This window comes from Homo sapiens, chromosome 13 (assembly GCF_000001405.40).
Source record: "Homo sapiens chromosome 13, GRCh38.p14 Primary Assembly".
Classification (NCBI taxonomy): domain Eukaryota; kingdom Metazoa; phylum Chordata; class Mammalia; order Primates; family Hominidae; genus Homo; species Homo sapiens.
Genome location: NC_000013.11, coordinates 76457891 through 76481254, shown reverse-complemented (window position 1 = coordinate 76481254; position 23364 = coordinate 76457891). Strand labels below are relative to the sequence as shown.

General features: G+C 35.9%; 1 long non-coding RNA gene across 1 annotated transcript in view, besides 1 other annotated feature; it reads right to left on the bottom strand.

Annotated features, from left to right (window-relative positions):
• LOC105370263 (uncharacterized) overlaps window positions 1-21367 on the bottom strand; it is a 65817-nt gene extending 44450 nt beyond the window's left edge. Inside the window, exons 1-2 of the long non-coding RNA XR_001749919.1 lie at window positions 21299-21367; window positions 18392-18479 (exon numbers count right to left, since the gene is read on the bottom strand). This is a non-coding gene — a long non-coding RNA (uncharacterized LOC105370263). The remainder of the gene's footprint in view (window positions 1-18391; window positions 18480-21298) is intronic.
• Window positions 7450-7609: a silencer, noted in NCBI's record as "silent region_5409". NCBI's record gives its function as "represses an Ori minimal core promoter by ATAC-STARR-seq in GM12878 lymphoblastoid cells {active_cell/tissue: GM12878}" and the evidence as "EXISTENCE:reporter gene assay evidence [ECO:0000049][PMID:35858748]".
• Window positions 21368-23364: the final 1997 nt, after the last annotated feature.

The following is a 23364-nucleotide window of genomic DNA, read 5'->3' as shown; positions in this document are numbered from 1 at the left end:
TGCCAATTTGAATAAAATATATCTATTTCAATTATATAAAACGAGATGTAGAAAGTTGAAAATTAATGGTTAGAAGATATGTATGAAAACAAAAGGAAAATATAAAATAAAAATGTGTGTAGCTATATTAACATAGAAATATAGAGTAACCAAGAATAATTTTTTAAATAATTTTTTAAATGTAAAAGAAGCCTTTGTTGTTCATATATATGAACATATATATGTTCATATATATGTTCATATATATGTTCATATATACGAACATATATATGTTCATATATACATATATACATATACATATATATGTTCATATATACATATACATATATGTTCATATATATACGAACATATATGTTCATATATACATATACATATATGTTCATATGTGTATATATACACATACATATATACACATATGTGTATATATACACATACATGCACATATGTATATATAACGTATGTATATATGCACATATGTATGTGTATATACACATGCACATATGTATGTGTATATACACATGCACATATGTATGTGTATATACACATGCACATATGTATGTGTATATACACATATGCACATATGTATGTGTATATACACATATGCACATATGTATGTGTATATACACATATGCACATATGTATGTGTATATACACATATGCACATATGTATGTGTATATACACATATGCACATATGTATGTGTATATACACATATGCACATATGTATGTGTATACGCACGCACATATGTATGTGTATATACACATGCACATATGTATGTGTATATACACATATGCACATATGTGCGTGTATATACACATATGCACATATATACATGCATATATACACACATATACACATACATATATACACATATACACATACATATATGTATATATACACATATACACACATGTATATATACACATGCGTATACATGTATATATACACATGCGTATATATGTATATATACACGTGTATATATGTATATATACATGTTTATATGTGTGTACACATATACATATATGTGTATATATGTACATATACACATATACATATATGTGTATATATGTACATATACACATATACATATATGTGTATATATGTACATATACACATATACATATATGTGTATATATGTACATATACACATATACGTATATGTGTATATATGTACATATACACATATACACATATACATATATACATATACATATATACACATATATGATGCAAAAATTTTATTTACTACCTATGCAAGCTGAATAGATGGAGAAATATTCAATTTTCTCATACAGAAAACCCCCATATCATAAAACTGTTTATTCTCCACAGATTGATTCTATTGGTTCAGGGAAATTTCAATCAAAATCCCAACAGATTTTATTTTTGCATCTTGAAAAACAGATTCTAAAATTTATTTGGCATAGCAAAAGCTGAAAAACAGGAGTTTCCTAAAGAAGAAAAATAATGTGGGAATATCCCCTTGCATATTCCAAGACTCATTATAAAGCCACAGTATTAGCTAGAGACATGCTATTCAATTAATGCTGAACATCAAGGTGACATTGATGCTGACACTCCTGGGGACCACACTGGAACTTCTGATCCTGAGCACACAAAACAGAATGGGACTGCTGGGTCAGAGAGAGGGAGTATATTCAATCTTATAAGATAATCTCAAACAATTTTCCAAGTGGTTAGACCCATGTCTTTTCCATTTGCACAGACTGTGAACTCCCACTCCATGCATCTAAGATTGATTTGTCTACCGTATTTTTTGCTAACAGGGTACATCTGTAATAGTATTTTATAGTAAATATTGCAAGAGACATGCTATTCAATTGTCCCTAATAGGCCAGGAGCAGCCCATGAATATACAGAAATTATATATAACACATAGCATTGCAACTACTTAGGGAAGAGTAGACTAGAAAATAAATGGGGCCAGAATATTTGTTTATCTCTATGGGAAAAAAACAAAATTGGATTCCTGCCGCGTACCATATACTAAAATAAATTCCAGGTGGATTAAAGACTGGAATATTAGGGGCAAAACTTTAAAATATCTGAAGAAGATATTTGGGTGAATTTTTATGACTGAAGTAGGAAATAATTTTCTTAACTAGGACTCCAACAGGAATGAAACAGAAAGAAACGGCATAAAGGAAAATACTGATAAATTGTATTGTATTAAAAACAACACCTTTTCATTAAGACATCACGGAAGTGGAACATATGCAACAAAACTGGGAGAAGACATCTGTAGCACACATCACTGATTAATTATATTAATTCCCAGAATATATAAAGAATTTGTATTGATTGGGAAATAGTGGAAATGCTGACAATATTAAGTGCTGATGAAAAGCAAGAGTACCGGACAATCTAAATATTTGTTCTAAGTAGACATCCCAAGGAAATATTTCTATGTGTACTAGAAGGAATGTGTAAAAACATGCAAAACATCAAAAATATGTTGAACATGAGCACAGAAATACTGCTGTGGACTAAACTCTCTCCCCACAGTTCACATTTTGAAGCCCTAACTCTGACTACCTCAGAATGTGACTATGTTTGGAGGTAAGGATTTCCAAAGGAAATTCATTTAAAATGGATTCATTGGGGAATGCCCTAGCCAATCTGACCAGTGTCCGTTTAAGAAGAGAGGATGAGGACACGGGGAGACACCAGAGTTGTTCACACATGGAGAAAGGCCATGTGAAGACACTGAGAAGGCATCCGCCTGCCAGCGAAGATAGGGCTCAGGAGAAACCCAATCTGTCAACATTTTGATCTTGGACTTCCAGACTCCAAAAAATATGGGAAAATAAATTTCTGTCGTTTAAGCCAACCAGTCTGTAGCATTTTATTTTGGTGGCCCTAGCAAATGAATACACTTACCCTGTTCGTAGAGTCAAAAGAAAAAGAACAGAAGAAAAAAGAAAAGAAAAAGATGACAGGTTGATGGGTGCAGCAAACCACCATGGCACCTGTATACCTAGGTAAAAAACCTGCACATTCTGCACATGTACCCCAGAACTTAAAGTATAATAAAAAGTAAAGAAAAAAATCCAAGTATTCACCTATAGTAAAATGGGCATTAAAATGTGGTCTATTAAAGTGAGGCAATATTATACTGGGGTGAATCTGAGTGACCTACAGTTCCTCATACTCATTGGGTAAATCTCTTTGAAATGTAACGCTGAGAAAACAAGGATTTAGAAGTATATTTTGACCAAGATGGCCTATTTCCTTTCAGTTTGACTAAACTTCAGAAAGGTTTCTTCCCGACCTAAGCCCCTGATCTCCCTTTTCTTAGTGAGTTTATTTTAGAAAACTTGAAATTGTAAATTCTTTCTCTGCCCCTTTAAGATGTGAATCTCCCAGCCTCTTGCCAGTTTTACAACATAGCAATGTGTTTCACATGGATTTGGGAGTTATTCTATGAAATGTAATCATCAAAAAAGATAGGGCCGTTATCTCTCAGTCTCTGGGGGAGGAGGGGTGGGAGCCTAACTTCTACTCTCCCTTAATTCATGCCAATTAGCAAAAATAGATGGCCTAACTGTATTTAGTGACCTCCAGGCTTATGTCCTTCAGAACCTTTGCACCAACTTGACCCAGTGTTGAAAATCTCTCCTGCCTTTTGTTTCAACATAGTTCACTCTATATTCCATATTGCGGTATTTGTGAACCTATTGTGGTCATCTTGAAAAAAGTCATCTTTGCCTGGTTACCTTGTCTGGTGCAATTTTACTTTGATAATGTAAAGCTTAATATCATTTCCTAAAGATTTCAATCAATAGAAATATATAGTTTAGAGGTTTATATACATATGGTAAAACCATTTTTAAAAACTGCAAAATTAAAGGCCTGTATTTGGAAGCTGATTTTCTTTGGGTCAGGTAGTATACACAGAATTAGTGATGTTCTAGTTCTTAAATTAGTTCAGAAGTTGCTTCGCAGTTGTATAGATATCTCTCTCTTTCATATATATAGATGTATAACAATGTATGTAAATATATTTAAATATATGAGTACTACCTAGTAAATAGAAACCAAAGAAATTGGTACTGACTCTGAGAAATAATTTCAAAAATGAGAGAAAGGAGCAAAACAGAAAAATAAAGCCAAACAAAAACAAATAAGTAACCCCAATAAGTGGGTGGGAATTGGCTATCTACATGGTCAGGTTTTTTAACCATAAACCACATTTGGGATGCACTTATGCTTCAAATAGGATTTTAGTCCTCTATAGACCAAATTGTAGCCTAATTATAGCAAATCAAATCAGGATTGCAGCATGAATCCATCATCATCATCATCATAACCATTCTCACTAATATGTACTTCAATTCAATATTAATCTTCTTTTACCAACAACCCTCTGAATATCATTTAAATTTTTGCTAAAAATAATTTGAAGCAGGAATATAGATAAAGCCAGAGGAACCGTCAGCAGTAACACAGTGATAGGTGGACTTTCTTTAATGTAACTCAGTGCAGGGGAATCTTAGTCCCTGTGTTTTTCTATCCCAACTCTCCCAAATCCAGGAGAATAAATGTGATTCACTAAGCACAGAAAAATACCAAGTTATGGCAGGTGGTGCTTGGGAACAGTGGCCATTCCATTTTGAGTTAGCTACAGAAGTTTGAAACAGAGCCAATCTGAGTTTGACTGACAGATGAAATGGTGGTCTCATGTAATCTTCACTGTTACAGAGGTAAATGCTTTTCTAATCATAAAAGCTGCATGGCCCTTTGACAAATATCCTATGAGCCCCTTTCCCTCCTGGTGTTATAATTTTCATTTTTTCATTAGCTTAGGTGTTCTGAATTTCCAGAAAAAGGAAGATTAGAATCAAGATCATGTGTAGAATAGTATGATATAGAAATTTGTGCTGTAGTAGAGTTTATTTTAATGTACTTTATGTCCTTACTTCCTTTGATGAATGCAAGCCTCTAGGCAGACAAGCACGACTTGAATGTTAGATTCCAATACTCTGTCTCCCAGGGACCTTGGAGGGTAGATAACATTACAGAATGGGCATCAATCAAAAGTATATAAGATTTTGTAGTGAAGAAGTTTATCTAATAGAGAATCAGTGGAGTGAGGCAAAAATTGCTGTAAAGTAGCAAGGAACTAATTTACTCAAGTTATTCTTTCCTATTACTTTAAACTTAAATACGTAATAAAAGTTTGAACATTTACCATATATAAAGCATTGCACTTAAGGAGATACGTTCTGGGAATTAAGTTTAGTAAAAACAATAGGTCAAAACCTATTGATCGAGGCTAAACCTGTTACAAATTTTTAAAAAATACTCTATTTAATTAACTTTGCTACTGGAAGTTGGAAGTTTTGTGCAACAACCGTAGATAACAAAAATTGTTTTAGCTGGAATTTGACAATAGAGGCAAATATTTGCATAAACAAAATTGCTCCCGGAATTAAACTTGTAAAAGCAAATAAGAGGCATATTTTCTTATTGCAACAATGCTCAAAGTTTGTAGAAATAATCTTTAATTTTATGTGCAGAGGAAATTGACTTTGCCTTTATGGTGTGCTATCTATATTCATGCAACCAATCATTTCTTAGCACTCTTTATGTGTCAGGCACAATTTCTGGTGCTGAGGATTTAAAAATTAAAGTCTGTGCCACCAAGTTACTCATTAGACTAATTGGAATGATCGAAAAGTGAACAGCTACCATTTTCTAGTCCAGAAAGATCAAATTATACAAAATTCAATCACTGACAGGCTCAGCTTAAGGAACAAATCACAGAGGAGGTGTGTCCCAGCTGTTTCAGAAATAATTAGGGATTGATCAGGTGGGTGGCAGAACAGGAACTCATAGTTGGGTCAGGTGTGACCGTGAAAGGGTAGAGCATTCTAGGCAGAAAGAGCTAGCAGGTCATTCATTCAGGAAGGAAAAATTCAGTCCTAAAAATACACTGAGATCCAGAAAATAAAAATAGCAGTTAATCCATTTGGTGCCTGGGTGAATTTGATCCTAAACTTGCACTGACCTCAAAACAGTCAGAAACTCAGCCGCTTTTTGTCTGTGTCAGTGCCAGTTCATTCATTCACTGGCTTCTAATTCTAAGTAATTTATTCTTGGTGTCTCTATATGTTCTACACATTCCGTACATTTTCATTCTTAGCAGTCATAGATCTAAAGATCTAAGAAGTATGTAGGGCAGTTTTTAAATTCCCCAAAACTTTTAGAACTTTCAAGATATATATTTCAAGATAATATATTGAACTTTCCAGCATCCTAGAGATACTCATGTCTCAAAATTACCCCCTCGTAGCCCAAGGTTATCCATCAGAACTCCTTAGATTTCACCACAGCTTATTATAGTGAAAAGACACCCACATGTCCCTGAGTGCACATTCAATTTATGAGCATCAAAGGACAGATGAGCATCAAAGACAGATTTAGATACATTAAAATGTAGTTTTTATGTTTATAATGATATGCAGCCACATAAAAATAATATAGTAAACACCTTGGACTACAAAACAGCTGTGGGGAAGTTTTTGACAAGAAAATATCCCAGTTTGAGAACATTAGATTAGACATGAACATAAATTAAATATATTATTAATTCATTTGGAAGGGTTGAACATTTAAGAAGGCTGTTTCTACCAGCAGAAACAAAGATGGAGAACTGCCAAATAGTTGTGAGTTGCTCAGAATTCTGCTTGGCTTCCAGAAATTGAATTGGAAGCGGATGTCTGCCCACAAAGTGAAAATGATCTTATTAGTAAACACATCTTTAAATGAGACACACACTGACAAAAATGATTCTTTAGTGGACTCCCAGTCAAAGGAAAAGAAATATTAGATAAGCTAGAAAATATGTCATAGTGCTCTAATTCTAGAATTTGAGAGTGACAATTTAGAGGCAATTTTCAGGGATGCTTGAAAAAAAATTTGTAATTTATCTGTGATTCGTTTTTTGTGACCAGTTTGATGAACAACAAGAAATGGCTGATGACATTTACTAAATATCTGAAAAAGAATGCCCAGATTCCATGCTTTTTAGTTCTGTTTCAGACCCTAGTATATTTACTTTTGGTTGGTCAGAAGCACCAAAACAGACTTTACAACAGGAATTTAAGAAATTAAAAAGTATCTGTTCTGAAAAGAGAAAAAATACTATTACTGATAAGAAAATAATCAATTTTACTTTATCAGTATTTATTATTGGTTCTCTGTATAGCTGTTGTTTTAAATTTCCTATATTAGAACAGATTAGTTTTTGCTTTCTCTGCATTTTGAATCAAAATTTTAGTGGCAGTTTCATATATAAGTGTTTAGTTAGGTATTTGGAGCTGTTTCAAGGAGGATGACTTATATTTCTTGACTTCCAAAACATGAATGAAGAAATATATTATATGGCATTATGTCACAGTTTCTTATGTCATACTTTTGACATGGTCCTCAATAGATATTTCTTGATGTCATTGAACTAGAGAGGGGTGTGGTAAGTTTAGTAGTTACCACCAGGGGGCAGCAGAGGCTGTAGGATCTCAACACATGGAAGTGGCTCTACTGGCTAAGGTGGGTACAGCCTTGCACTGTCCCTCCAGTTCTGCTGGGTTGTGGTTCATCTGAGGGTGATCATCAGAATGGAACAGGAAGTTTTTTTAAAAAAATTCTGGGACCATATAAGTATCAAATCATAATCTTTGAAGAAGTGGCCAGAACATGTCTAGTTTCCAAAACTATTGGTTATCTTCATGCATGAGAACAGGTAATAAGAGAAGGATAGGAAAGAGTTTCTCTGCAGTTGGTAGAAAAAACGATTAATCTCAAAGAAGAATGCCTACTTTTCCATGGGTTGACCCTAGGGAACTGTGGAATTGCTGCTGAAGTGCCAGAGTTTGGTCTAGGTCCTGCTGCTTGCAGCACAGAAAGCCAATCATTGAGATGATAAGTATTGCCAGGGAAGAAGGCTTTAATTAGGTACTGCAGCCGAGAAGATGAGAGATCAATCTTAAACCCATCTCTCTGACCAAGTACAATAGGGGAAGGAATGTAGCTAAGTGTAGGAGGGCTAAGCAAGAGAAGCTGGTCAACAGGAGGCAGGTGGTTCGTTAGACAATCATGATGGGTGAGGGGTCTGGGATCTCATTGTCCAGATGTAGTGACCTGGTAAGTATCAGCTCCTTCATACTTCTCCTTCTGGGAGGTCTGATGGCCAGTTTCCTGAGGAAGGAACTCAGATAAGACCAATGCAAGTTTCACACTTTAAGACCAGGAGAGTTAATATCTATGTGTATTCAAACACAGCAAATATCAGTTCTATGGGACAATTGTGCCAGTTTGAGTGTAATGGACTATAGATGGGATTTTCAGGGGCTTATTTGGGGATATTGGGTTTCATATTCTGTAGTTACATGGCAGAAAGAAAAGTAAAACAGACTTATTTTAACTGATAAGGAATAACTACTGACTCGTCTCAGCTGTAAGTTGACCCACAAAGAGTTCTGCTTACGCTCTTTTGTTCTGGCTCTAACTGCAGCTGCTCTCATGCCTCTAACTTACATCAGTGATTTCAGTGTTCACTTACATATAGAAATGCTTCCCTCTTTGGTTCCCTCTTTGTTAAGTTTTTCATTTTTGCATTAAAAGCATTGATGGTAGTTAGAACACAAAGTCTTGATTCTGTCTCAGTTATACTACCTGCCCCCCGCCTCCTTTTCTGAGGTAGAGTCCCTTGTATATTACCATCCTCTTATTATGCTGGACTCAGGAGTATGTAACTGTTTCTTTTCGTCTTCCAAGATGAAGAGTAAGAAAATAGGACGGGGCAGTGGCTCACACCTGTAATCCCAGCACTTCAGGAGGAGGCCGAGGCAGGTGGATCAATTGAGGTCAGGAGTTTGAGACCAGCCTGGCTAACATGGTGAAAACCCGTCTCCACTGAAAATACAGAAAATTAGCTGGGTGTGGTGGCGCATGTCTGTAATCCCAGTTACTTGGGAGGCTGAGGCTGGAGAATTGCTTGAACCTGGGAGGGGGAGGTTGTAGTAAGCTGAAATCGCACCAACTGCTCTCCAGTCTGGGTGAAAGAGCGAGACTCTGTCTCAAAAAAAAAAAAAAAAAAAAAAGAAAAGGAAAAGAAAATATCTTTATATGCGTATCTTTGAGCAGATTGAATCTAGAGTGGTCAAAGAGTAGCTGGATAAAGCCTGGGACAGCAAAGGGGATGTAAGCGCAGAAATGTTTAATGTTCTATGGAATATTACTTACAAAATAGGGTTTGTTTTCTGGGCTCAGAAGCTTCATTTGATCCAAGATAGACTCCAAGAATAAAGGAGTTTTTGTGATATTCAGTTCCTCTAACTCTTTTTGGAGCACTGCAAGCTCCTTTCCCAGCTAAGTTAATGAATTTGAATTTTATTCTGAGCGTGTTGGAAAGACTTTGGAGGGTTTTATCCAGGAAAAACAGGTTCAATTTATGTTTAAAAGAAAGGAATATAACTGTTCAATGATGAACAGATGGTAAGGAATAAAAGTAAAAGCAAGAAGATCAATTAGGAAAAAAATCATGATTTTAGATGATGTCATTTAGACTGTGATAGTAGTAATGGAGATGGATAAAGTAGACAGATATAGTACATGCTTTCAAGTTTCTAGATAAACTAGGTCTATTTTTGTTTGGTAATGTGTGGGGGCAGGATTTTGGAAGATAATGGTTGGAAAGCCTATTCTTTTTCTTTCAGTGCCCTTGTATAAATCTGTGAGCTGCTGCTTGTGCTCAGACATTACTATGCAAATTGGGTAAAGGAAAAAATGAATTTGTTCTTCTACAAACTACATTCATTAATTTAAGGAGATTAAAGTGTTTTCTTATACTCAAATTTGTTTTCTGAAGAAATGACATATTATGAAGAAACACAAAACAGAACACATGTGTCCTCACCCTACGTTATGTGGAGATAGGAAAAGAGTTCAGCAGGCAGGATCAAGCGTGCTGTGAAGGATGATAGGCAGTTTTTTGCGGGAGGCACTGAGGAATGCTTAGAAGTTTGTTCAAACCAGATACAATATTGCATGTATGGTCCTAAGATCAGTCTATCCACACATCAAGAGTGAGGTATGGATGTGTTTTGTTGGAATTGGATCATCACCGAATACACATTTTTCAGTTTTCCCTTAGTGTCCTGGGTTTTATTTCATTTGTTGTTGTTGTTGTCGTCGTCTTATGGTCACATGTGTGAGTGATTTTAAAAAGAATGTACCATCATCAGCCTGTGAAAGGACTGACCTAAGGGTCTGGCTATCTGTGTGAGACTTGTCTCTTTTGCCAAATAGCTGGACAAGTCACTTACCTTCCCTGGATAAATGACTGTGATATAAGGAGTTTTATTCAGTGATTCCAAATGTCTTCCAGCCCTAATAATTTGTGACTCTGATTTTTGAGGTTCATGTGGAAGCAGTGTGAACTCTTGACACCTTCAATGGGCTGCCAGTTTTTGCCTTAAATGAAGGAGTCTCATCAGCTGCATTTCTATCAGCAGTCTCAGAGAAACACAAATATTTGAACTTTCAGGGCAAAGAGAAACATAATGGCAACAGGTTGTTGCTTCAATCCCACTGGAAATATCTGTATTTTCTTCTGGGTGCATTGCATTCTCATTTTGGTGTTCCTTGGGATTGTGGTCATCTTTTTTTAGCTATCTTCTTTGTTGAGAACTGTTTATTTTTTTTATGTGCCACCTGCCCATTATTTCTCTTTCTCTCCTAAAAAATAGATGAGTTAAACAGAAGTAAATTGTCAAATGCCCCTGAGTTCAGAGCTTTCATGTTCTCTGTGCTGTCTGGTATGGCATGGATCACAAAGACCTTTGGTTACCTTTCATTGTCCAGTTGTGTTTTTTAAGGATTTACTTGGTACATGGCATTGGACTAATAGTAATGTTCTTCAGATTTCTGTTTTCTTTGTAATCTAATAATCTAATTTAATGCTAAGGCAGATTAATATTATGTAATAAATATATACCACCATTATATATCCATAATTAAAGTAAATATTTTTTAAAAGATTATATAGATAATAGGTTAGCAAGAAGAATTTCTCCTAGATTAGAGGGGACAAACAGAGGCTAAGTTAGACATAGCGAGTGAGACATGTTGGCTTAGCAGGCAAAAAGAAATGGATAATGAGGCCGGGCACGGTGGCTCATGCCTGTAATCCCAGCAGTTTGGGAGGCTGAGACAGGCGGATCCCCTGAGGTCAGGAGTTTGAGACCAGCCTGGCCAACATTGTGAAATCCCGTCTCTACTAAAAAAATACAAAAATTAGCTGAGTGTGGCGGCAGGCACCTGTAGCCCCACCTACTCAGGAGGCTGAGGCAGGAGAATTTCTGGAACCTGGAAGGCAGAGGTTGCAGTGAGCCAAGATCGCCCCATTGCCATTGCACTCCAGCCCAGCATTAGAGCAAGACTCCATCTCAGAAAAAAAAAAAAAGGATAATGAGTAGTTTCCTTCATGAGCGCAGAGCATCCAGACAATTCTACTGTTTCTTCTTGATAGTCGTAAAATGCAACAAGAAGCTTAATCTTAGGCACTGTGGCAGTTCATAAGAAGAGCAGCCAGTATGCATTCAAGATATATAAAGTGGAAGATGTTGGGTGAATATTACCTGCTGCCTTGTGAATTGAAAACCCAAACCAATTAACAGGCTGCTAGCTTCCTTCTCTTTCTTTGGGTAAACTTCAGAACTTCCAGGATTTTGACAAATAGAGTTGGGATTTTGCAGGGGCCAATGAGACTGCCATGTTTTGCTACTAACTTGGATGAAATACGTGGAAGTTTAAATTGCTCATCTGTTCCTGCTCCTTTTATCCAGCCTGTACCAGAAGTGACCATTCCCACATTGTTCTAACTCACCCTAGTCAGCACTTGCCAGTTGCCAGCTTTGGTTGTTGTTGTTTTAGAGGTTGCTTTGTTGCCAATGCAAAGTTGATAGTGGATTCTGTAAATCGTTTATGTGGGGTTGACTCCATACTGAGCATAAGCAATTAGTGGGTTATTTAGTCTGAACATGGTTTCTGTGCAGGCTGGGATAATACCCATGCTTCTCTATTAAATTATGGTTAGGTTTTTGTCTCATTTGCCTTAAAGATCAGAGGCATGCATCCTGATGTAGAACTTAGCCAGGAAGTTCTTCTTTGTCTACAAACATTGAAAGGAATTGGCACCCCTGCCTCCTTCTACTCTTCTAAGACCATCCCAAGCAGCTGCAAAAGGCATATTTGATAATGCATGTGCAGGAGGAGAGCAGCACTGATTGCCATGGGAGCCATAAACTGAAGCAGCAAACACAACCGAAAACCATCAAAGATGACTCCTTCGGGCCAGAGCAATTGCAATGAACCTGAAACTTTTCTGCAATTAGTGTGTGAATTCTGATGCAAATAAAAGGTATATTTATTATAAGATGTTACAGACATGGGGCATCTACCGTGGCTTACAGCATGGAGGAGATGCATTGGATGAAGCAGAGACAAATTATAAAGAAAATCCTGCCACGAGTTTGCTGACCTTATTTAGACATTAAAGTTGACATTAGAACAACATTCTATCTTTAACTTAAATAAAGTACATAATGTGAGTTAATTCATCTTTAACTAGCCATAAGTTTATAAAATCTAGAGTCCAAAAGTACCAGGTAATGTGTTGCCAAAGGAAAGTGGGTGGATTCAACCAACAATTGAAATCAGGTTTCATGCCTAGAAGGTGTTTTATCTATACAGATTGGTCCCTTGCTGAATAAAGAATTTTAGTGTCTCTGGTGCCTACCACAGTTAACTTATGCACATACAAAAGCCAAGTTTTGGTAGACTTTAATTGCATTTTCCTTAAAAACATTTGGTGCACCAGAGAAATAATTTTGAGGTCTGGATAAAAATACTCCATAAATATATAATTAAATTTTGCCTTTAAAGACACAGACTCAACTCTAGTTAAAGTCATGAGTACTTGCAGATGGGGAGCCACAAGGATTTGGTTAGGATATACTCAGTGGAAAATAGTAAAGACGAGACTTATATTTTTAGGACAAGTGGGTAAAGGAGGTGGTCTGGGACAAAGCAGTATTTTGTAAGTGAAAAAGACCTTATCGCATTTCAACTTGTATTTTAACTTATGACCCACATTTTGTCTTTCAAATGCTATGTCAATATGCAAAGGCAGAGTAGCAAGAAAGTTTGAGGTGTGGAATAAGACTGTGGCACACAAATAGTGTTTCCTTCTTTACATGTTCAAAAGAGAACAAAGGATTCTAATGGAAATGCTAAATGTTTTGCCACATGAATATATTTAATCCAATAATGAAATGGTTTACTAAATAAGTTTTTAGAAATGTTACATTAAGATGGCTGTACAGAACATAGATTTGGGGATTATAATTTTAAAGAGATTGCATATAGATATCTGACTCAAGAAATTATTTTCTAAAAAATAATTAAAACTTAAAGTGTAATATTTTTCCATAGTATGCAATTAGCAAACTCCAAACAGTGGGGAAAATGTTATGAAATGAATGATCCATTTTTTCTCTGTAAAAATGTTAGAATGGGGTCAGGGAAGAGCCTCTAGATTAAAAGAGATTTAAGAGATGAATCAGCCAATTTTAATATATAGACCTTATTTAGATTCTGATAAAATAAACTGTAAACAAAGTTGCACAGCACTTATACTTTACAAAATGTAAACAATGACAGCATATTCCATAATGTTAAAGAATTCATTTTATTCAGGTGTTATACTGTTTAAAACATAAAATTTCAATTATTTGGAGTACATACTGAAATCTTTACGTATAAAATAAGTTAAAGAATTTGACTCAGAAATTTGGTCTTGGAAATAAAGCCAATGGACAACTCTTAAAATCTAATTTCGAGTATTTTAAGAAATTCCTGTTACAAACAAATGTATTTTTAGGTTTCTTGGTATTTACAAATGATTGCATTCAGGAGAAAATAATCTTTACTACTAAGAGAGTAAAGGGGAAAACCACACAATGCAATTTGTAGAAGAAAAACCATTTTAGTTATTTCTATTGTTATTCGAGGCAAAGTATTCCTGAGTTGACCTATTTTCCCATTTAAGCCTATTTATTATTGCCATCCAGCATTCATTAGATGTTTTTGCTCCTCTGGGAAGAAATACCCTTTAATGCTCGTTTCTAACTACAGGACTATTGTGCAGAGATGCTACCTGGTGTATGTCTGGAAGACAGCAGATTGTGGATCCCAGGTAGATCGTACATATGAGATAACATACTGTGTATATTGCATATGGGTATAGGTTTAACTTTAAACACGTAATTGCTGATGGGTTGAAAGGAGATATCACTTAAAAAAAAAAGAGAGTAATAAATTAAAGGAATCCTAGCAGAATACAGAGACTTTACGGAGAGCAAAAAACAAAAACAAAATGGCAAACAACAATACAAAAATCAAAATAAAGGATGGGAACCAGATGGAAACAGTAAAGGGACAAGAATTCAGCTAGTAGCTTAACTTGTACATTATGAGTCTTGGAACATAAAACAGACTTGGGAAACAGGCAAAAGGACAGAAATGGGATGGAAAAAGGAATTGAAATTGGAGAAGTTGATAGAACTAACCTCATAGTGGGAGGTCAGTAAGTGATCCTTCAGTGGTTGTATATAGATAAACTCCGGATCCATTTTTATTATTTCCTTTGAGTACTTTCTGTTTACAATGCACCCTATCAGGCACTAGGTGTGTAGTGATGGACTAACAGATAATAGGTATCTATACTTCCCTGTGTGTGGTTTGTAGTCTTTAGTTATTATTGCATTCAAGAAGAATAGCTTGAAATTCTGTTGGAAAAATGACAGCTTACTGTGAAGACTAGTCCTAGATGGGATGGAAAGCACACATATTCCTATAATACTTCACAGCTAAGGGAAGCACCACTGACTTCAGGCTGACAGCACCATTTCCTGCATCTGGACGTAACTCCTGTGGTAACTCAGAGTGATCTTAAGCCTGACACAGAAAGTGCAAAATAAACATTTATAAATCCAGAGGGAGACAGACAGAGAATGGATGGGAACACTTGGCTTTTTCTTTTTTCATTGAACTCTTCCTCCTTTTTATCTTTTATTTTCCACTGTGCAGTTTTAATGGTTTCTTGATAAATAATGAGGCACAGGAAGTACAACAGACACCAAACAAAGGCAAGAGAGACACATCTATGAAGATCAGCTGCACATAATGTGTATTTTAAATCAATCAGGCATCTCCATGGATTTGATAACAAATAAAGAAAATGACATATTAGTTCTATGAAGAAAGCAGCCACTTCTAATTGTTTTTACCCCTGGATTCCCAGACCTAGAACATTTTCTGGTACATATTAATAGATATTTATTGAATGAATAATGACAATGACAAAGATCTTCATAGCAGCAAACAAAATGAAACATATGAAGATGATGATCGATTTTGGATTATTATATTCCTTCAGTCTATTTCTTGTCCTTTTTTAGTCTTAATGTTTGCTTCTCTGTGGCCTTATGCCTATTTATGTTCTCAGTCTTATATTATAAACTGGATAAATTCCTTTTTATCAATGATACTATCTAAGGCAGTATTTGATAGATGCATATAATGTGCATTATATATTAGTAGTTAGTGTTCTATGAATGCTTGGGATATTGAATTAAGTTTTTCCTTCCCCCATTAATGATGATTCAAAAATAAACCCAATAAGCATTGCCATTTCTCATTAATTCAAGGACTAGTCATCTAGGTTATCTATTCAGAGGACTATCAAGATTCTGTGCTGCTTTTCCTTTGACTTGCTAGATAGGTGTGTTAGTCCATTTTGCATTGCTATAAAAATATCTGAGGCTGGGTAATTTTTGCAGAAAAGAGATTTATTTGTCTCACGGTTTCACTGGCTATACAAGCATGGCACCAACATCTACTCGGCTTCTGATGAGACCTCAGGAAGCTTCTACTCATGGCCTAAGGTGAAGGAGGTGCAGGCATGTCACATGGAGTAAGAAGGTGCAAGAGAGAGAAGAGGAGTTGCAAGGCTCTTTAAAACAACCAGCTCTCATGTGAGTGAATAGAGGGAGAACTTACTTATCACCAAGCTATTCATAAGGGTTCCACCCCCAGGACCCAAACACCTCCCGCTAGGCCCCACCTCCAACATTTCAACGTGCCATGTGGAGAGGACAAACATCCAAACCATATCAACAGGCTATCCTGGGATCAGTCTGAATTAAATGGCTCTTTAGTATGTAGGCATGAATATTAGTCCATTTTCACACTGCTAGTAAAGGCATACCTGAGACTGGGTAACTTATAAGGGAAAAAGGTTTAATGGACTCACAGTTCCACATGGCTGGGGAGGCCTCAAAATCATGGCAGAAGATGAAGGAAGAGCAAAGTTACATCTTACATGGTGGCAGGCAAGAGCTTGTGCACAGGAACTTCCCTTTATGAAACCACCACATCTGGTGAGAGTTATTCACTATCAGGAGAACAGCATGGGACAGACCCACCCCCATGATTCAGTTACCTCCTACCGGGTCCCTCCCACAACGTGTGGGAATTATGGGAGCTACAATTCAAGATAAAAGTTGGGTAGGGGCACAGCCAAACCATATCAGCATGTAATATACTGGTATCTATAATTTTATGAAAAAGTAGAATAAAATTATAGGTAAACAAGAAGTGAAATGATTCCCTATAACATTTTGGATGACTGTTTTGAAGGCTGTCATCTGTTCACTTGTGTCTCACAAACCCAAAGCATCTTAGTTTATCCCTGCATTTACTTTTTGCTTTCTCCCTCTGTGTATGCCCTGGGAGGGTAGTAATGGATGATAGAGTCAGATCCATGAGTGAGTGGTAGTTCGTCAGGATAACTGGGGTAGAATATGATTATCCATTTGGCATCAAATTTGCATCTTCCTTACCCAGGATCCCACATAAGCACTGGATAGAAGCATACTCATGTCAGATGAATGCCCAGAAGGCTAGCATCTTGTGGCAAAAGTTTCATAGTCAGAGTTGATTCTCAAATGTGCTTGTTCAGAGCACTTGACTTTTAGTTCATTATTTAACTCAATTGTAAGTTTATCTCCAAATAAGGGTAATAATATCAAACTTATATACATGTGAGAATTAAATTAGCTAATGGATTTTAATGCCTAGTACAATGCCTGGCTATTAATAGGGCACAACAGATGCTAACTAATATTATTTTCTTCAATAGAAATATAATTAAATATTTTGTTATAATGAAATGATTCATTATGTTGATTATCCTTTGGTCTTCTCAGGTTTTTTTTTTTCTTTTTAAGTTAACAATGGAATCTGCCTTCTTTGAAATCTCATAACACGCAGATGTAATGTTCTTTATCATTGGCCTGGAAGATGTTCTCTTAAATGATTAATGTCATTTAAGGGAAGTTAGAAATGACCTATCCTCACCTGTGGACTCTGCAGGTGAGATTATGGTAAAGCAGTGAGGCTGAGTGGCACATGGTCTGAAGTACCAGTTAGTGACAGCTTTGGCGACTGCTCAAGTGTCTACTACTGTGTCCAGTTCTCTTTCCAGAGAAACTGTAGCATTTTTAAATCAAGTCCTGATTGGACTATGAGGTAGACAGTTGACCCAAGGTATACTCATATGCTTGTCATTCCTGTTAAAACGGATTTATGACTCACAAATGTTACAACCTGAGGTTGATGTTAGAACTCAGAGGGTATGTTGCAGGAAGGGGTGGTATCATGCACCCAAACACACATAGCAGCAGAGAAAACCAGCCAACACAGGGAATAGTATGGAAGATCAGCCTGTCATTGTCCAGTAAACTCCCCCCATTTTGCCTCTGCTAGTTGTAGTGGATTTCTTCTACTCATAACCAAAAGACCCTTGACAAGGACTAAATTAATAATTATTTTTGCACCACCAAATAAGTATTTAACTGAGAATTTATACCTTATTAATAGACATTAATTAATGCAACTTGGAATTCGATTTCACAAATGTGTTGGCACCTTAGACATACTCTTGTCTTTCGTAAAATAAAGCCATTTGCTAATAGCTCTGTTCAATGCATAAAACATTACTTAAGCTAACACAGAGCTTCTGAAATGGAAGTATGAAGAGAAAGGCTCCTTAATTTTCTAATTGCTCTTTCCTGCTATTGAAATTAGCCAGCATTTGATCTTTAATAGGAACAATTATAAAGAGAAACATTTGCCAGAAAATTTAAAGGTTAGTCACTATGGCATGACTAATGTCTATAGGAAAAAATAATCAGCAAATTGCTCCATTGTTACAATGAGAGTAATACATTTTCTCAATGAATACCTGGAATATTTAACTCCTCACTCTTCTCAGTGGATCTGTAGCCATGTCTGGTACAAAGTAGGAATTTGACACAGTTTCCTCCTTTTGCCTGCAAAAAATGACAAGACTTCATCTTTCATTTACAACATTTTGCTTTTAACAAAGGCAAGTTTTTACTTTGACAATAAATTTTCATATTCCAGTAACTTTTTCTCATTAGCTGGTAGGCGAGGAAAAGGATCTGGAAGTAATGCAATAACATTAAAATTGCATCCTCCACCGGCACCAAATGTGTCCCCTGGGAGCTGAGGGTGGGAGAACTCTTCACTGCCATTTATCAGTGACCCTTAGCTTAGTCCCTGCCAGCATTAGGTTCTTTTCCAAAACATTTGCATGTATATGGGGGAATGGAAGAAGTGGTCTTAAAATAATTACCTTTTTCATTTGGAAAGCTTGAGGAAATTAAGATTTTACTCTAGCATCACTCATGTTTCTTAAATAAGATGGTTAACTTTTCAGGTTGAAGAATCAATTTCCTAAAGCTAAACACCCAGTCAGCTGTATGGCTGGCTTATAGCATTCTCACGATGGCCACATAATAGAAAAACATCTGATGTATAGTCAGTGTTTCGCAAGCCAAAGCACACATCTGTGCTCCCAGGATGTCCCGATGCAGATGCTGTCCTTTTCCAGCCAAGTAGTGTGTTCTGCCACTTGTTATAATAAAGCCCTTTGAGAGGCAGTATGAACTCGACTGGCTAGCCATATTCATCTCCAACAGCTAGTAATGACTAGCTGATTTTTACAAATTGCATATTTGAATTTTGCACATGCTTTGCTCTTTGAAAAGGCAACCTTCCCAAATAAAGAAAGAGAAGGCCATTTGTTCAGCTGCAGTGTTTGGTACCTTATTGTAACAATTCTGTTCCCTGATAAAACATAGAGCCAAATCTGAAAATGTGCAAATAACTGGTTCTACCCAGGCCACTTATCTGTAGAAACCTGATAATTTGATTTTTGAATAAGCTCTCCAGGTGTTCTTAAGCAAAGTGAAGTTTGAGAATCATTGATTTAGAGGACTTCAGCATAAAGTTCTCTGCTAGTAAAACTGGTTTATTAAACCTCTTGGATTTTCCTGTGATGTGGCTGCTCTGCTGGGCCTTTAGTAAGTCTACCTAGCTTTGGAGTGATTTATGAAGATGTCTTTTGTGGCTACCCACATCCTCCAAAATGTCTTTACCTCCACTCTCCTGGCTTTTTTCAGTTAGTCCTAACATGTGCCGGAGAAAATAATATCATTCACTGTGCAACTTCCAACCCTCAAATACATATAAATAAGAGTCCCCATTTTTAGCTTAGGAGGAGGAATGCTTATACCAGCTTACACATATTTATTCATGTCTATCTGTCCTGTCTTTAACAGAATTGCTGAACATCTATAAAAAACAAATAACATCTTTGGGAAAAGTAAGACATCTGACATGCTCAAAGGAGGTTATAAAGATCTGAGTGTGGTGATACAAGTAGGTGTGCTATCAAGCACTGGGTTTGGCACTGAGGTGATTCTAATGTGAGCAGAGTAATGTGAGCAGAGTGTGGTACTCGGAGACCTTGATATTTTGAACTTGGACTCTGGTGCAGGAGTGGAAGGGTTGCACTTGAACCCACACACCATGGCATGTGCATCATAAACATTCATTGACGTCTGGGAGATAAGGGGGCTAGTATAAGGGAGGAACAACTTGGTGTCATTTGTTAGGGAGAAGACTGTGCCTCCAGAAGACTGGAGGATAGAGAGCCAATTTACAGCAGTAGAGCTCTCTCTCTCTCTTTCTTTTTCTCTCTCTTTTAAGTTCTATTATCCTGTTTTTCTGTTTGAATGTTAATCTGAGTTAGCAGTTTCCCCTAACTGAAAGTGAGATGGCAGTTGTAACAGAGGATGGAATGAACACCAGACTGAATGCTTTCTAGTCGGTGTGGTTGAACTCTTCTCAGCTTGGAAATTCAGAGCAAGGAGTAAATCTATGTGGATTGAGGCTTTTCCTTCAGGATCTGCAATAGTTTGCCCCCTACTTCTTCTGATTTTAGACAAGTCTTCATCAAACTCTCCAGACAGAAAGTACTCCATTTTTATCCTAAGACAAAATAAACAAACAGCAAACCTCTAATGAAAACATACAGAACCTGTTGGTTATAAATTACTTTTAAAAATTTTATTACAATGCCATATACACTCACTCACTGTAAAACATTAGAAAACATATCATATAGGAAGAATAGCAGAAAATTTATCTTCACCACTTTTAACTTTTTAAATTTAATGTTGAATCCCTTGTGTTTTTTTTCCTGATATACACACTATGCATGCACATTCATATCCACCACATTCACCGTATTCACCTCTTTTCACGTTCACACACAGCTTTCATACTTGCATATATTTAAATTTAACTCCATATTCTATACGTCTTTCGCTTTCATTTAATACTCATTTTTAGCATTATGCAAATGGCTGAGAATGCCTCATTACATATGAATGTAACACAATTGCTATAAGCAGTTCTCTATCTTTGGACATTAGGTTATTTCTAGTTTAGTTTGAGTATGACAATATATATGCATGTAACCACATATATCTCAAAGTATTAAAATTTCCAGTCAGAAGATCAAAACAATCCTTTTGAGACAAAGGTATAAGTTATAGTTTGGCTGATGGGCTTTAAATTCTGGCACTTGCAATGGTTAAAGTCTCATAAAACTGGGCGGAGTCTTAAAGAAGACAGTCCTAGGCTTTTGGCGGATGAAAAAATTTGTACTGCTCTTTAAGCAGAGGGAATTATTCCAGTCTGCAAAGTGAACTAAATAAATAAGAGGCCAGGCAGATTAATGGTTTGCAGACAGAAAGGTTCGGGGAAGATCTGGCCTTACCGTGGTTGATGTTCTCCAAGTGGAAAATGATAACATGGCTGGCAAGTGCTTAACAATCTTTAAAAAATGGCCTTCCTCTTTCCTGGGAGTAAAACTTTCTAAATGCCCTTATTTTAAAATTACTGTATCAAATCATGTTATTTTTATTTGGAATCTTTTAAAAGCTATGAAAAGATACATTTAATAAAACTTCTTTAGCGAAATCATAATCAGCATTTCTCACCAAAGAACAATTGTGGGAGGGAGGATTCTTTTCAGAAACACAAAGAACAATGCCAAGTTTCTGATTTTCAGAGGAATTGCTGAAATAAGGCACAGAAATGAACTAGGGAAAAAAACAAGTTATGAAAAATTTTCAAGTTTTTCTCAAAAGAAAGTATATGGAAAAGTCCACTTAGCAAAAGATTAGGTTTGTATTTTTTAAGAAATGTATGTTGGGATTGCAAAACTGTCCATTTTATTTATATTATGATTCTTGATATTTTAAATATTTTATTTAACTGTGGGGGCTATGATCAATTGATTAAAATAAAGCCCTAGCTTTTGCAAGTTTCATGCCATGGAAAAGTCAATACAGCCTCAATTTTACAATTTAATAACTAACCTGCACAATGTGCACATGTACCCTAAAACTTAAAGTATAATAAAAAAAAAAGAAACTTAAAAAAAAAAAAAAGAAATAGAAAAGAAAATACTTTCACTACCTTTCTGACATACAAACATTCCTGGATGTCTTTCCCCTTCTCATTAGTAAAAATTCCATAAGTATTAAAACCTTATACATTCTTTTATTTAAAAGGCATTGTATCATGCTATTTTTTATTTTGGAATCTTTTAAGAGTGATGAAAAGATATATTTAATGAAACCTCTAAAGATATCATAGTACTTTAAACCAGAGAACAACTTAGCATAATATTATGCTAAATAGGACTACACTTATATATGTAGGTGGCTTCTCCAACAATTTAGAAGTGAGGGAAATAAAGTTACCTCCTATGAATTATATTTCCTTAATTAAGACCAGCTTGAATGTATTTAATCTTTAGTAATAATAAATAATTTAAAAGCAGAATGGTTAATATAGCATAGAAGTCAAAGGAATAAACCATGAAAGTGTGTATGTCTAGCTGTCTTCAGAAAGATGCTGAGTGGGAGCTATACGAATATGCCTGTTCCTCAGAGAGGAGATCTGAACTGTGTTAGGGATGCATTATTCTTCTGGGCTTGACACTTAGAAATAGGAAATGACCAACTGGTTAATAAATAAGAAGTGTTACAGCGTACCACCTACATTTTCCTTACCTCTGAAACAGAACCACTAGTAAGTAACTTCTACTTTCCTTGTCTTGGAGTATTTTTCACCCTTTCCTGGTTGAAATATAGTATCTATATAATTCTGCTTCTAACATGGTCATGGAGATGCCTAAGTGCTAGAATGTCTCTGTATCCGACTCTCTAAGGGAGGCCAATGAAAATCCTAAGGTTCCAAGAGTTCATTAGGATGGGATGGATGGCAAAGACCAGTGGTTTCAGCGATAAGCTGATGTAGCCCAATTCTCCAGAAAATGCAATCTAGTGATGACTGCATTTTGATTAGAGGGGGCTTCCTATTGGAGAGGGCAGTGTAATGCTTGAGACCCATGTTAAATCAAAAGGTGGCTTTTTGAACAGCCTGTTTCACATGTGACTCAATGGTCTCAAGATACTGCCAGTCTATCTGTTTTCTTTGACATGATCTAGGATTCTGAAAGTCCAAGGATATACAAAAGTGGGGTACTGAAAATGTTACCAGTATGTGGTAGCAAATTCAGACAACATTCAGGATAAATTAGTCTGTTCCCTCCTATTGTTGATCTCTTTATCTTTTTATCCTATATTGTAGGTTCTTTATCTTCTCACTTTTGAAAAATTTTTAAACTTTCATCTATTATATTTATTTTTCCCATACTGTTTAACTATTTTTGTAAATGGTACCATGGTTTTATTTCATGAATTCAATATTTTTCATTATTTTTCTAAGGATAATAATTTTAGTTTTTAAGTTTTTCTGCCCCGTGCATTTTCT